The sequence below is a fragment of the Homo sapiens genome, chromosome 5, assembly GCF_000001405.40.
Source record: "Homo sapiens chromosome 5, GRCh38.p14 Primary Assembly".
Lineage (NCBI taxonomy): Eukaryota > Metazoa > Chordata > Mammalia > Primates > Hominidae > Homo > Homo sapiens.
The window spans coordinates 46,711,337-46,726,942 of record NC_000005.10 but is presented as its reverse complement, the minus strand read 5'-3'; the positions used below and the strand labels follow the sequence as shown (position 1 = coordinate 46,726,942).

Genomic DNA, 15,606 nt, shown 5'->3' with positions numbered 1-15,606 from the left:
GTTTGTATGTGAAGATATTTCCTTTTCCATCATAGGCCTCAAATCGCTCCAAATATCCACTTGCAGATACTACAAAAGAGCGTTTCAACACTGCTCTCTCAAAAGGAAGGTTCAACTCTGTGGGTTGAATGCACACATCACAAAGCAGTTTCTGAGAATGCTTCTGTCTAGTTTGTATGTGAAGATATTTCCTTTTCCATCATAGGCCTCAAATGGCTCCAAATATCCACTTGCAGATACTACAAAAAGACTGTTTCAACACTGCTCTCTCAAATGGAAGGTTCAACTCTGTGAGTTGAATGCACACATCACAACGGAGTTTCTGAGAATACTTCTGTCTAGTTTGTATGTGAAGATATGCCTTTTACAACGTATTCCTCAAGGAGCTCCCAATATCCACAAGCAGATTCTACAGAAGCAGTGTTTCAAACCTGCTCTGTCAAAGGAAAGTTTCAACTCTGTGAATTGAACACACACATCACAAAGCAGTTTCTAAGAATGCTTCTCTCTAGTTTTTAAGAGAAGATAATCCTTTTTCCACCATAGGCAACAAATCTCTCCAAATGAACACTAGCAGGTTCTACAAAAAGTGTGTTTCAACACTGCTCTATCAAAAGAAAGGATCAAGACTTTGAGTTAAATGCACACATCACAAAGCAGTTTCTGAGAAAGCTTCTGTCTAGTTTTTATTTGAAGGTACATCCTTTTCCTTCTTAGACCTCAAATCGCTCCAAATATCCACTTGCAGATACTACAAAAAGAGTGTTTCAAAACCGCTCTCTCAAAAGGAAGGTTCAACTCTGTGAGTTGAATACACATATTACAAAGCAGTTCCTGAGAATGCTTCTGTCTATTTTTTAGGTGAAGATATCACTTTTTCCAACATAGGCCGCAAAGCATTTGAAATGAACCCTTGCAGATTCTACAAAATGTTTGTTTCAACACTGCTGTATCAAAAGAAAGGTTCAACAATGTGAATTGAACAAACCCATTACAAGGGAGTTTCTGAGAATGCTTCTGTCTAGTTTTTATGTGAAGATATTTCTTTTTCCAACATAGGCAACAAAGCACTCCAAAGAACACTTGTAGATTATACAAAAAGTGTGTTTCAACACTGCTCTACCTAAAGGAAGTTTCAAGTCTGTGACTTAAATGCACACATCACAAAGCAGTTTCTGACAATGCTTCTGTCTAGTTTGTATGTGAAGATATTTCTTTTTCCACCATACTCCACAAATCGCTCCAAATATCCACTTGCAAATACTACAAAAAGACTGTTTCAAAACTTCTCTCTCAAAAGGAAGGTTCAACTCTGTGAGTTGAATGCACACATCACAAGGCAGTTTCTGAAAATGCTTCCGTCTAGTTTTTTATTTGAAGGTATTTCCTTTTCCTTCTTCGGCCTCAAATCACTGCAAATATCCACTTGCAGATACTACAAAAAGACTGTTTCAAAACCGCTCTCTCAAAAGGAAGGTTCAACACTGTGAGTTGAATGCACATGTTACAAAGCAGTTTCTGGAATGCTTCTGTCTATTTTTCAGGTGAAGATATCACTTTTTCCAGCATACGCACAAAAGAACTCGAAATGGACACTTGCAGATTCTACAAAAAGTATGTTTCAACACTGCTCTATCAAAAGAAAGGTTCAACGATGTGAATTGAACACACACTTCACAGAGGAGTTTCAGAGAATGCTTCTGTCTAGTTTTTAAGTGAAGATATTCCTTTTTCCCACACAGGCAACAAAGCGCTCCAAAGGAATACTTGTGGATTCTACAAAAAGTGTGTTTCAACACTGCTCTATCAAAAGAAAGTTTCAAGTCTGTGAGTTGAACGCACACATCACAAAGAACCTTCTGAGAATGCTTGGGTCTACTTTTTATGTGAAGATACCCGTTTCCAACGAATAACTCAAAGAGTTCCAAATATACACAATCAGATACTACGAAAGGAGTGTTTCATTCCTGCTCTGTCAAAAGACAGTTTCAACTCTGTTAGTTGAATGCACACATCTCAATGAAGTTCCTGAGAAGGCTTCTGCCTAGTTTTTTGTGAAGATGATAGTCCCTTTTCCACCATGGGCTTCAAAGCGCTCCAAATGAAGACTTGCAGGTCCTACCAAAAGACTGATTCAAAACGGCTCTATCAAAAGAACGGTTCCACTCTGTTAGGTGAATGCACACATCACAAGAAGTTTCTGAGAATGCTTCTGTTTAGTTTGTATGTGAAGATATTTCCTTTTCCATCATACTACACGAATCGCTCCAAATATCCACCTGCAGACGTTACAAAAAGACTGTTTCAAAACTGCTCTCTCAAAAGGAAGGTTCAACTCTGTGAGTTGAGTGCACACATCACAATGGAGTTTCTGAGAATACTTCTGTCTACTTTGTATGTGAAGGTATTTCCTTTTCTACCTGAGGCCCCAAGTCACTACAAATATCCACTTGCAGATACTACAAAAAGACTGTTTCAAAACCTCCCTCTCAAAAGGAAAGTTCAAATCTGTCGGTTGAATGCACACATCACAAAGCAGTTTCTGAGAATGCTTCTGTCTAGTTTGTATGTGAAGATATTTCCTTTTCCATCATAGGCCTCAAATCGCTCCAAATATCCACTTGCAGATACTACAAAAGACCGTTTCAACACTGCTCTCTCAAAAGGAAGGTTCAACTCTGTGGGTTGAATGCACACATCACAAAGCAGTTTCTGAGAATGCTTCTGTCTAGTTTGTATGTGAAGATATTTCCTTTTCCATCATAGGCCTCAAATCGCTCCAAATATCCACTTGCAGATACTACAAAAAGACTGTTTCAACACTGCTCTCTCAAATGGAAGGTTCAACACTGTGAGTTGAATGCACACATCACAACGGAGTTTCTGAGAATGCGTCTGTCTAGTTTGTATGTGACGATATGCCTTTTACAACGTATTCCTCAAGGAGCTCCCAATATCCACAAGCAGATTCTACAAAAGCAGTGTTTCAAACCTGCTCTGTCAAAGGAAAGTTTCAACTCTGTGAATTGAACACACACATCACAAAGCAGTTTCTAACAATGCTTCTGTCTAGTTTTTAAGAGAAGATAATCCTTTTTCCACCATAGGCAACAAATCTCTCCAAATGAACACTACCAGGTTCTACAAAAAGTGTGTTTCAACACTGCTCTAACAAAAGTAAGGATCAAGACTTTGAGTTAAATGCACACATCATAAAGCAGTTTCTGAGAAAGCTTCTGTCTAGTTTTTATTTGAAGGTACTTCCTTTTCTTTCTTAGACCTCAAATCGCTCCAAATATCCACTTGCAGATACTACAAAAAGACTGTTTCAAAACCGCTCTCTCAAAAGGAAGGTTCAACTCTTTGAGTTGAATGCACATATTACAAAGCAGTTCCTGAGAATGCCTCTGTCTATTTTTTAGGTGAAGATATCACTTTTTCCAACATAGGCCACAAAGCATTTGAAATGAACACTTGCAGATTCTACAAAATGTTTGTTTCAACACTGCTGTATCAAAAGAAAGGTTCAACAATGTGAATTGAACACACCCATCACAAAGGAGTTTCTGAGAATGCTTCTGTCTAGTTTTTATGTGAAGATATTTCTTTTTCCAACATAGGCAACAAAGCACTCCAAAGAACACTTGTAGATTATACAAATAGTGTGTTTCAACACTGCTCTACCTAAAGGAAGTTTCAAGTCTGTGACTTAAATGCACACATCACAAAGCAGTTTCTGAGAATACTTCTGTCTAGTTTGTATGAGAAGATATTTCATTTTCCACCATATTCCACAAATCGCTCCAAATATCCACTTGCAAATACTACAAAAAGACTGTTTCAAAACTTCTCTCTCAAAAGGAAGGTTCAACTCTGTGAGTTGAATGCACACATCACAAGGCAGTTTCTGAAAATGCTTCCGTCTAGTTTTTTATTTGAAGGTGTTTCCTTTTCCTTCTTCGGCCTCAAATCACTGCAAATATCCACTTGCAGATACTACAAAAAGACTGTTTGAAAACCGCTCTCTGAAAAGGAAGGTTCAACACTGTGAGTTGAATGCACATGTTACAAAGCAGTTTCTGGAATGCTTCTGTCTATTTTTCAGGTGAAGATATCACTTTTTCCAGCATACGCACAAAAGAACTCGAAATGGACACTTGCAGATTCTACAAAAAGTATGTTTCAACACTGCTCTATCAAAAGAAAGGTTCAACGATGTGAATTGAACACACACTTCACAGAGGAGTTTCAGAGAATGCTTCTGTCTAGTTTTTAAGTGAAGATATTCCTTTTTCCCACATAGGCAACAAAACGCTCCAAACGAATACTTGTGGATTCTACAAAAAGTGTGTTTCAACACTGCTCTATCAAAAGAAAGTTTCAAGTCTGTGAGTTGAACGCACACATCACAAAGAACCTTCTGAGAATGCTTGGGTCTACTTTTTATGTGAAGATACCCGTTTCCAACGAATAACTCAAAGAGTTCCAAATACACACAATCAGATACTACAAAAGGAGTGTTTCATTCCTGCTCTGTCAAAAGACAGTTTCAACTCTGTTAGTTGAATGCACACATCTCAATGAAGTTCCTGAGAAGGCTTCTGCCTAGTTTTTTGTGAAGATAGTCCCTTTTCCACCATGGGCTTCAAAGCGCTCCAAATGAAAACTTGCAGGTCCTACCAAAAGACTGATTCAAAACTGCTCTATCAAAAGAACGGTTCCACTCTGTTAGGTGAACGCACACATCACAAGAACTTTCTGAGAATGCTTCTGTTTAGTTTGTATGTGAAGATATTTCCTTTTCCATCATACTACTCGAATTGCTCCAAATATCCACCTGCAGACGTTACAAAAAGACTGTTTCAAAACTGCTCTCTCAAAAGGAAGGTTCAACTCTGTGAGTTGAGTGCACACATCACAATGGAGTTTCTGAGAATACTTCTGTCTACTTTGTATGTGAAGGTATTTCCTTTTCCACCTGAGGCCCCAAGTCACTACAAATATCCACTTGCAGATACTGCAAAAAGACTGTTTCAAACCCTCCCTCTCAAAAGGAAAGTTCAAATCTGTCGGTTGAATGCACACATCACAAAGCAGTTTCTGAGAATGCTTCTGTCTAGTTTGTATGTGAAGATATTTCCTTTTCCATCATAGGCCTCAAATCGCTCCAAATATCCACTTGCAGATACTACAAAAGACCGTTTCAACACTGCTCTCTCAAAAGGAAGGTTCAACTCTGTGGGTTGAATGCGCACATCACAAAGCAGTTTCTGAGAATGCTTCTGTCTGGTTTGTATGTGAAGATATTTCCTTTTCCATCATAGGCCTCAAATCGCTCCAAATATCCACTTGCAGATACTACAAAAAGACTGTTTCAACACTGCTCTCTCAAATGGAAGGTTCAACTCTGTGAGTTGAATGCACACATCACAAAGCAGTTTCTGAGAATGCTTCTGTCTAGTTTGTATGTGAAGATATGCCTTTTACAACGTATTCCTCAAAGAGCTCCCAATATCCACAAGCAGATTCTACAAAAGCAGTGTTTCAAAACTGCTCTATCAAAGGAAAGTTTCAACTCTGTGAATTGAACACACACATCACAAAGCAGTTTCTAAGAATGCTTCTGTCTAGTTTTTAAGAGAAGATAATCCTTTTTCCACCATAGGCAACAAATCTCTCCAAATGAACACTACCAGGTTCTACAAAAAGTGTGTTTCAACACTGCTCTAACAAAAGTAAGGATCAAGACTTTGAGTTAAATGCACACATCACAAAGCAGTTTGCTGAGAAAGCTTATCTGTCTAGTTTTTATTTGAAGGTACTTCCTTTTCCTTCTTAGACCTCAAATCGCTCCAAATATCCACTTGCACATACTACAAAAAGACTGTTTCAAAACCGCTCTCTCAAAAGGAAGGTTCAACTCTGTGAGTTGAATGCACATATTACAAAGCAGTTCCTGAGAATGCTTCTGTCTATTTTTTAGGTGAAGATATCACTTTTTCCAACATAGGCCACAAAGCATTTGAAATGAACACTTGCAGATTCTACAAAATGTTTGTTTCAACACTGCTGTATCAAAAGAAAGGTTCAACAATGTGAATTGAACACACCCATCACAAAGGAGTTTTTGAGAATGCTTCTGTCTAGTTTTTATGTGAAGATATTTCTTTTTCCAACATAGGCAACAAAGCACTCCAAAGAACACTTGTAGATTATACAAAAAGTGTGTTTCAACACTGCTCTACCTAAAGGAAGTTTCAAGTCTGTGACTTAAATGCACACATCACAAAGCAGTTTCTGAGAATGCTTCTGTCTAGTTTGTATGTGAAGATATTTCATTTTCCACCATACTCCACAAATCGCTCCAAATATCCACTTGCAAATACTACAAAAAGACTGTTTCAAAACTTCTCTCTCAAAAGGAAGGTTCAACTCTGTGAGTTGAATGCACACATCACAAGGCAGTTTCTGAAAATGCTTCCGTCTGGTTTTTTATTTGAAGGTATTTCCTTTTCTTTCTTCGGCCTCAAATCACTGCAAATATCCACTTGCAGATACTACAAAAAGACTGTTTCAAAACCGCTCCCTCAAAAGGAAGGTTCAACACTGTGAGTTGAATGCACATGTTACAAAGCAGTTTCTGGAATGCTTCTGTCTATTTTTCAGGTGAAGATATCACTTTTTCCAACATACGCACAAAAGAACTCGAAATGGACACTTGCAGATTCTACAAAAAGTATGTTTCAACACTGCTCCATCAAAATAAAGGTTCAACGATGTGAATTGAACACACACTTCACAGAGGAGTTTCAGAGAATGCTTCTGTCTAGTTTTTAAGTGAAGATATTCCTTTTTCCCACATAGGCAACAAAGCGCTCCAAATGAATACTTGTGGATTCTACAAAAAGTGTGTTTCAACACTGCTCTATCAAAAGAAAGTTTCAAGTCTGTGAGTTGAACGCACACATCACAAAGAACCTTCTGAGAATGCTTGGGTCTACTTTTTATGTGAAGATACCCGTTTCCAACGAATAACTCAAAGAGTTCCAAATATACACAATCAGATACTACAAAAGGAGTGTTTCATTCCTCCTCTGTCAAAAGACAGTTTCAACTCTGTTAGTTGAATGCACACATCTCAATGAAGTTCCTGAGAAGGCTTCTGCCTAGTTTTTTGTGAAGATATTCCCTTTTCCACCATAGGCTTCAAAGCGCTCCAAATGAAAACTTGCAGGTCCTACCAAAAGACTGATTCAAAACTGCTCTATCAAAAGAACGGTTCCACTCTGTTAGGTGAACGCACACATCACAAGAAGTTTCTGAGAATGCTTCTGTTTAGTTTGTATGTGAAGATATTTCCTTTTCCATCATACTACACGAATCGCTCCAAATATCCACCTGCAGACGTTACAAAAAGACTGTTTCAAAACTGCTCTCTCAAAAGGAAGGTTCAACTCTGTGAGTTGAGTGCACACATCACAATGGAGTTTCGGAGAATACTTCTGTCTACTTTGTATGTGAAGGTATTTCCTTTTCCAGCTGAGGCCCCAAGTCACTACAAATATCCACTTGCAGATACTACAAAAAGACTGTTTCAAAACGTCCCTCTCCAAAGGAAAGTTCAAATCTGTTGGTTGAATGCCACATCACAAAGCAGTTTCTGAGAATGCTTCTGTCTAGTTTGTATGTGAAGATATTTCCTTTTCCATCATAGCCCTCAAATCGCTCCAAATATCCACTTGGAGATACTACAAAAGACCGTTTCAACACTGCTCTCTCAAAAGGAAGGTTCAACTCTGTGGGTTGAATGCACACATCACAAAGCAGGTTCTGAGAATGCTTCTGTCTAGTTTGTATGTGAAGATATTTCCTTTTCCATCATAGGCCTCAAATCGCTCCAAATATCCAATTGAAGATACTACAAAAAGACCGTTTCAACACTGCTCTCTCAAATGGAAGGTTCAACTCTGTGAGTTGAATGCACACATCACAAAGCAGTTTCTGAGAATGCTTCTGTCTAGTTTGTATGTGAAGATATGCCTTTTACAACGTATTCCTCAAGGAGCTCCCAATATCCACAAGCAGATTCTACAAAAGCAGTGTTTCAAACCTGCTCTATCAAAGGAAAGTTTCAACTATGTGAATTGAACACACACATCACAAAGCAGTTTCTAAGAATGCTTCTGTCTAGTTTTTAAGAGAAGATAATCCTTTTTCCACCATAGGCAACAAATCTCTCCAAATGAACACTACCAGGTTCTACAAAAAGTGTGTTTCAACACTGCTCTAACAAAAGTAAGGATCAAGACTTTGAGTTAAATGCACACATCACAAAGCAGTTTCTGAGAAAGCTTCTGTCTAGTGTTTATTTGAAGGTACTTCCTTTTCCTTCTTAGACCTCAAATCGCTCCAAATATCCACTTGCAGATACTACAAAAAGACTGTTTCAAAACCGCTCTCTCAAAAGGAAGGTTCAACTCTGTGAGTTGAATGCACATATTACAAAGCAGTTCCTGAGAATGCCTCTGTCTATTTTTTAGGTGAAGATATCACTTTTTCCAACATAGGCCACAAAGCATTTGAAATGAACACTTGCAGATTCTACAAAATGTTTGTTTCAACACTGCTGTATCAAAAGAAAGGTTCAACAATGTGAATTGAACACACCCATTACAAAGGAGTTTCTGAGAATGCCTCTGTCTAGTTTTTATGTGAAGATATTTCTTTTTCCAACATAGGCAACAAAGCACTCCAAAGAACACTTGTAGATTATACAAAAAGTGTGTTTCAACACTGCTCTACCTAAAGGAAGTTTCAAGTCTGTGACTTAAATGCACACATCACAAAGCAGTTTCTGAGAATGCTTCTGTCTAGTTTGTATGTGAAGATATTTCATTTTCCACCATACTCCACAAATCGCTCCAAATATCCACTTGCAAATACTACAAAAAGACTGTTTCAAAACTTCTCTCTCAAAAGGAAGGTTCAACTCTGTGAGTTGAATGCACACATCACAAGGCAGTTTCTGAAAATGCTTCCGTCTAGTTTTTTATTTGAAGGTATTTCCTTTTCCTTCTTCGGCCTCAAATCACTGCAAATATCCACTTGCGGATACTACAAAAAGACCGTTTCAAAACCGCTCTCTCAAAAGGAAGGTTCAACACTGTGAGTTGAATGCACATGTTACAAAGCAGTTTCTGGAATGCTTCTGTCTATTTTTCAGGTGAAGATATCACTTTTTCCAGCATACGCACAAAAGAACTCGAAATGGACACTTGCAGATTCTACAAAAAGTATGTTTCAACACTGCTCTATCAAAAGAAAGGTTCAACGATGTGAATTGAACACACACTTCACAGAGGAGTTTCAGAGAATGCTTCTGTCTAGTTTTTAAGTGAAGATATTCCTTTTTCCCACATAGGCAACAAAGCGCTCCAAATGAATACTTGTGGATTCTACAAAAACTGTGTTTCAACACTGCTCTATCAAAAGAAAGTTTCAAGTCTGTGAGTTGAACGCACACATCACAAAGTACCTTCTGAGAATGCTTGGGTCTACTTTTTATGTGAAGATACCCGTTTCCAACGAATAACTCAAAGAGTTCCAAATACACACAATCAGATACTACAAAAGGAGTGTTTCATTCCTCCTCTGTCAAAAGACAGTTTCAACTCTGTTAGTTGAATGCACACATCTCAGTGAAGTTCCTGAGAAGGCTTCTGCCTAGTTTTCTGTGAAGATAGTCCCTTTTCCACCATGGGCTTCAAAGCGCTCCAAATGAAAACTTGCAGGTCTTACCAAAAGACTGATTCAAAACTGCTCTATCAAAAGAACGGTTCCACTCTGTTAGGGGAATGCACACGTCACAAGAAGTTTCGGAGAATGCTTCTGTTTAGTTTGTATGTGAAGATATTTCCTTTTCCATCATATTACACGAATCGCTCCAAATATCCACCTGCAGACGTTACAAAAAGACTGTTTCAAAACTCTCTCTCAAAAGGAAGGTTCAACTCTGTGAGTTGAGTGCACACATCACAATGGAGTTTCTGAGAATACTTCTGTCTACTTTGTATGTGAAGGTATTTCCTTTTCCACCTGAGGCCCCACGACACTACAAATATCCACTTGCAGATACTACAAAAAGACTGTTTCAAAACCTCCCTCTCCAAAGGAAAGTTCAAATCTGTCGGTTGAATGCACACATCACAAAGCAGTTTCTGAGAATGCTTCTGTCTAGTTAGTATGTGAAGATATGCCTTTTACAACGTATTCCTCAAGGAGCTCCCAATATCCACAAGCAGATTCTACAAAAGCAGTATTTCAAACCTGCTCTGTCAAAGGAAATTTTCAACTCTGTGAATTGAACACACACATCACAAAGCAGTTTCTAAGAATGCTTCTGTCTAGTTTTTAAGAGAAGATAATCCTTTTTCCACCATAGGCAACAAATCTCTCCAAATGAACACTACCAGGTTCTACAAAAAGTGTGTCTCAACACTGCTCTAACAAAAGTAAAGATCAAGACTTTGAGTTAAATGCACACATCATAAAGCAGTTTCTGAGAAAGCTTCTCTCTAGTTTGTATGTGAAGATATGCCTTTTACAACGTATTCCTCAAGGAGCTCCCAATATCCACAAGCAGATTCTACAAAAGCAGTGCTTCAAAACTGCTCTAGCAAAGGAAAGTTTCAACTCTGTGAATTGAACACACACATCACAAAGCAGTTTCTAAGAATGTTTCTGTCTAGTTTTTAAGAGAAGATAATCCTTTTTCCACCATAGGCAACAAATCTCTCCAAATGAACACTAGCAGGTTCTACAAAAAGTGTGTTTCAACACTGCTCTAACAAAAGTAAGGATCAAGACTTTGAGTTAAATGCACACATCACAAAGCAGTTTCTGAGAAAGCTTCTGTCTAGTTTTTATTTGAAGGTACTTCCTTTTCCTTCTTAGACCTCAAATCGCTCCAAATATCCACTTGCAGATACTACAAAAAGACTGTTTCAAAACCGCTCTCTCAAAAGGAAGGTTCAACTCTGTGAGTTGAATGCACATATTACAAAGCAGTTCCTGAGAATGCTTCTGTCTATTTTTTAGGAGAACATATCACTTTTTCCAACATAGGCCACAAAGCATTTGAAATGAACACTTGCAGATTCTACAAAATGTTTGTTTCAACACTGCTGTATCAAAAGAAAGGTTCAACAATGTGAATTGAACAAACCCATCACAAAGGAGTTTCTGAGAATGCTTCTGTCTAGTTTTTATGTGAAGATATTTCTTTTTCCAACATAGGCAACAAAGCACTCCAAAGAACACTTGTAGATTATACAAAAAGTGTGTTTCAACACTGCTCTACCTAAAGGAAGTTTCAAGTCTGTGACTTAAATGCACACATCACAAAGCAGTTTCTGACAATGCCTCTGTCTAGTTTGTATGTGAAGATATTTCATTTTCCACCATACTCCACAAATCGCTCCAAATATCCACTTGCAAATACTACAAAAAGACTGTTTCAAAACTTCTCTCTCAAAAGGAAAGTTCAACTCTGTGAGTTGAATGCACACATCACAAGGCAGTTTCCGAAAATGCTTCCGTCTAGTTTTTTATTTGAAGGTATTTCCTTTTCCTTCTTCGGCCTCAAATCACTGCAAATATCCACTTGCAGATACTACAAAAAGACTGTTTCAAAACCGCTCTCTCAAAAGGAAGGTTCAACACTGTGAGTTGAATGCACATGTTACAAAGCAGTTTCTGGAATGCTTCTGTCTATTTTTCAGGTGAAGATATCACTTTTTCCAACATACGCACAAAAGAACTCGAAATGGACACTTGCAGATTCTACAAAAAGTATGTTTCAACACTGCTCTATCAAAAGAAAGGTTCAACGATGTGAATTGAACACACACTTCACAGAGGAGTTTCAGAGAATGCTTCTGTCTAGTTTTTAAGTGAAGATATTCCTTTTTCCCACATAGGCAACAAAGCGCTCCAAAGGAATACTTGTGGATTCTACAAAAAGTGTGTTTCAACACTGCTCTATCAAAAGAAAGTTTCAAGTCTGTGAGTTGAACGCCCACATCACAAAGAACCTTCTGAGAATGCTTGGGTCTACTTTTTATGTGAAGATACCCGTTTCCAACGAATAACTCAAAGAGTTCCAAATATACACAATCAGATACTACAAAAGGAGTGTTTCATTCCTCCTCTGTCAAAAGACAGTTTCAACTCTGTTAGTTGAATGCACACATCTCAATGAAGTTCCTGAGAAGGCTTCTGCCTAGTTTTTTGTGAAGATAGTCCCTTTTCCACCATGGGCTTCAAAGCGCTCCAAATGAAAACTTGCAGGTCCTACCAAAAGACTGATTCAAAACGGCTCTATCAAAAGAACGGTTCCACTCTGTTAGGTGAACGCACACATCACAAGAAGTTTCTGAGAATGCTTCTGTTTAGTTTGTATGTGAAGATATTTCCTTTTCCATCATAGTACTCGAATCGCTCCAAATATCCACTTGCAGACATTACAAAAAGACTGTTTCAAAACTGCTCTCTCAAAAGGAAGGTTCAACTCTGTGAGTTGAGTGCACACTTCACAATGGAGTTTCTGAGAATACTTCTGTCTACTTTGTATGTAAAGGTATTTCCTTTTCCATCTGAGGCCCCAAGTCACTACAAATATCCACTTGCAGATACTACAAAAAGACTGTTTCAAAACCTCCCTCTCAAAAGGAAAGTTCAAATCTGTGAGTTGAATGCACACATCACAAAGCAGTTCCTGAGACTGCTTCTGTCTAGTTTGTATGTGAAGATATTTCCTTTTCCATCATAGGCCACAAATCACTCCAAATATCCACTTGCAGATACTACAAAAGACCGTTTCAACACTGCTCTCTCAAAAGGAAGGTTCAACTCTGTGAGTTGAATGCACACATCACAACGGAGTTTCTGAGAATGCTTCTGTCTAGTTTGTATGTGAAGATATTTCCTTTTCCATCATAGGCCTCAAATCGCTCCAAATATCCACTTGAAGATACTATAAAAAGACCGTTTCAACACTGCTCTCTCAAATGGAAGGTTCAACTGTGTGAGTTGAATGCACACATCACAAAGCAGTTTCTGAGAATGCTTCTGTCTAGTTTGTATGTGAAGATATGCCTTTTACAACGTATTCCTCAAGGAGCTCCAAATATCCACAAGCAGATTCTACAGAAGCAGTGTTTCAAACCTGCTCTGTCAAAGGAAAGTTTCAACTCTGTGAATTGAACACACACATCACAAAGCAGTTTCTAAGAATGCTTCTCTCTAGTTTTTAAGAGAAGATAATCCTTTTTCCACCATAGGCAAGAAATCTCTCCAAATGAACACTAGCAGGTTCTACAAAAAGTGTGTTTCAACACTGCTCTATCAAAAGAAAGGATCAAGATTTTGAGTTAAATGCACACATCACAAAGCAGTTTCTGAGAAAGCTTCTGTCTAGTTTTTATTTGAAGGTACTTCCTTTTCCTTCTTAGACCTCAAATCGCTCCAAATATCCACTTGCAGATACTACAAAAAGACTGTTTCAAAACCGCTCTCTCAAAAGGAAGGTTCAACTCTGTGAGTTGAATGCACATATTACAAAGCAGTTCCTGAGAATGCTTCTGTCTATTTTTTAGGTGAAGATATCACTTTTTCCAACATAGGCCACAAAGCATTTGAAATGAACACTTGCAGATTCTACAAAATGTTTGTTTCAACACTGCTGTATCAAAAGAAAGGTTCAACAATGTGAATTGAACAAACCCATCACAAAGGAGTTTCTGAGAATGCTTCTGTCTAGTTTTTATGTGAAGATATTTCTTTTTCCAACATAGGCAACAAAGCACTCCAAAGAACACTTGTAGATTATACAAAAAGTGTGTTTCAACACTGCTCTACCTAAAGGAAGTTTCAAGTCTGTGACTTAAATGCACACATCACAAAGCAGTTTCTGAGAATGCTTCTGTCTAGTTTGTATGTGAAGATATTTCATTTTCCACCATACTCCACAAATCGCTCCAAATATCCACTTGCAAATACTACAAAAAGACTGTTTCAAAACTTCTCTCTCAAAAGGAAGGTTCAACTCTGTGAGTTGAATGCACACATCACAAGGCAGTTTCTGAAAATGCTTCCGTCTAGTTTTTTATTTGAAGGTATTTCCTTTTCCTTCTTCGGCCTCAAATCACTGCAAATATCCACTTGCAGATACTACAAAAAGACTGTTTCAAAACCGCTCTCTCAAAAGGAAGGTTCAACACTGTGAGTTGAATGCATATGTTACAAAGCAGTTTCTGGAATGCTTCTGTCTATTTTTCAGCTGAAGATATCACTTTTTCCAACATACGCACAAAAGAACTCGAAATGGACACTTGCAGATTCTACAAAAAGTATGTTTCAACACTGCTCTATAAAAAGAAAGGTTCAACGATGTGAATTGAACACACACTTCACAGAGGAGTTTCAGAGAATGCTTCTGTCTAGTTTTTAAGTGAAGATATTCCTTTTTCCCACATAGGCAACAAAGCGCTCCAAAGGAATACTTGTGGATTCTACAAAAAGTGTGTTTCAACACTGCTCTATCAAAAGAAAGTTTCAAGTCTGTGAGTTGAACGCACACATCACAAAGAACCTTCTGAGAATGCTTGGGTCTACTTTTTATGTGAAGATACCCGTTTCCAACGAATAACTCAAAGAGTTCCAAATACACACAATCAGATACTACAAAAGGAGTGTTTCATTCCTCCTCTGTCAAAAGACAGTTTCAACTCTGTTAGTTGAATGCACACATCTCAATGAAGTTCCTGAGAAGGCTTCTGCCTAGTTTTTTGTGAAGATATTCCCTTTTCCACCATAGGCTTCAAAGCGCTCCAAATGAAAACTTGCAGGACCTACCAAAAGACTGATTCAAAACTGCTCTATCAAAAGAACGGTTCCACTCTGTTAGGTGAACGCACACATCAGAAGACGTTTCTGGGAATGCTTCTGTTTAGTTTGTATGTGAAGATATTTCCTTTTCCATCATATTACACGAATCGCTCCAAATATCCACCTGCAGACGTTACAAAAAGACTGTTTCAAAACTGCTCTCTCAAAAGGAAGGTTCAACTCTGTGAGTTGAGTGCACACATCACAATGGAGTTTCTGAGAATACTTCTGTCTACTTTGTATGTGAAGGTATTTCCTTTTCCACCTGAGGCCCCAAGTCACTACAAATATCCACTTGCAGATACTACAAAAAGACTGTTTCAAAACCTCCCTCTCCAAAGGAAAGTTCAAATCTGTCGGTTGAATGCACACATCACAAAGCAGTTTCTGAGAATGCTTCTGTCTAGTTTGTATGTGAAGATATTTCCTTTTCCATCATAGGCCTCAAATCGCTCCAAATATCCACTTGCAGATACTACAAAAGACCGTTTCAACACTGCTCTCTCAAAAGGAAGGTTCAACTCTGTGGGTTGAATGCACACATCTGGAAGTAGTTTCTGAGAATGCTTCTGTCTAGTTTGTATGTGAAGATATTTCCTTTTCCATCATAGGCCTCAAATCGCTCCAAATATCCACTTGAAGATACTACAAAAAGACTGT

At 38.2% G+C, this 15,606-nt stretch overlaps 1 annotated feature.

The window, feature by feature from the left end:
• Window positions 1–15,606: part of a centromere (Linear centromere model derived predominantly from reads generated in PMID: 17803354. This region does not represent an actual centromere sequence, as long-range ordering of repeats and unmapped WGS contigs is not provided by the model. For details of model production, see http://arxiv.org/abs/1307.0035.) that runs on past both edges of the window.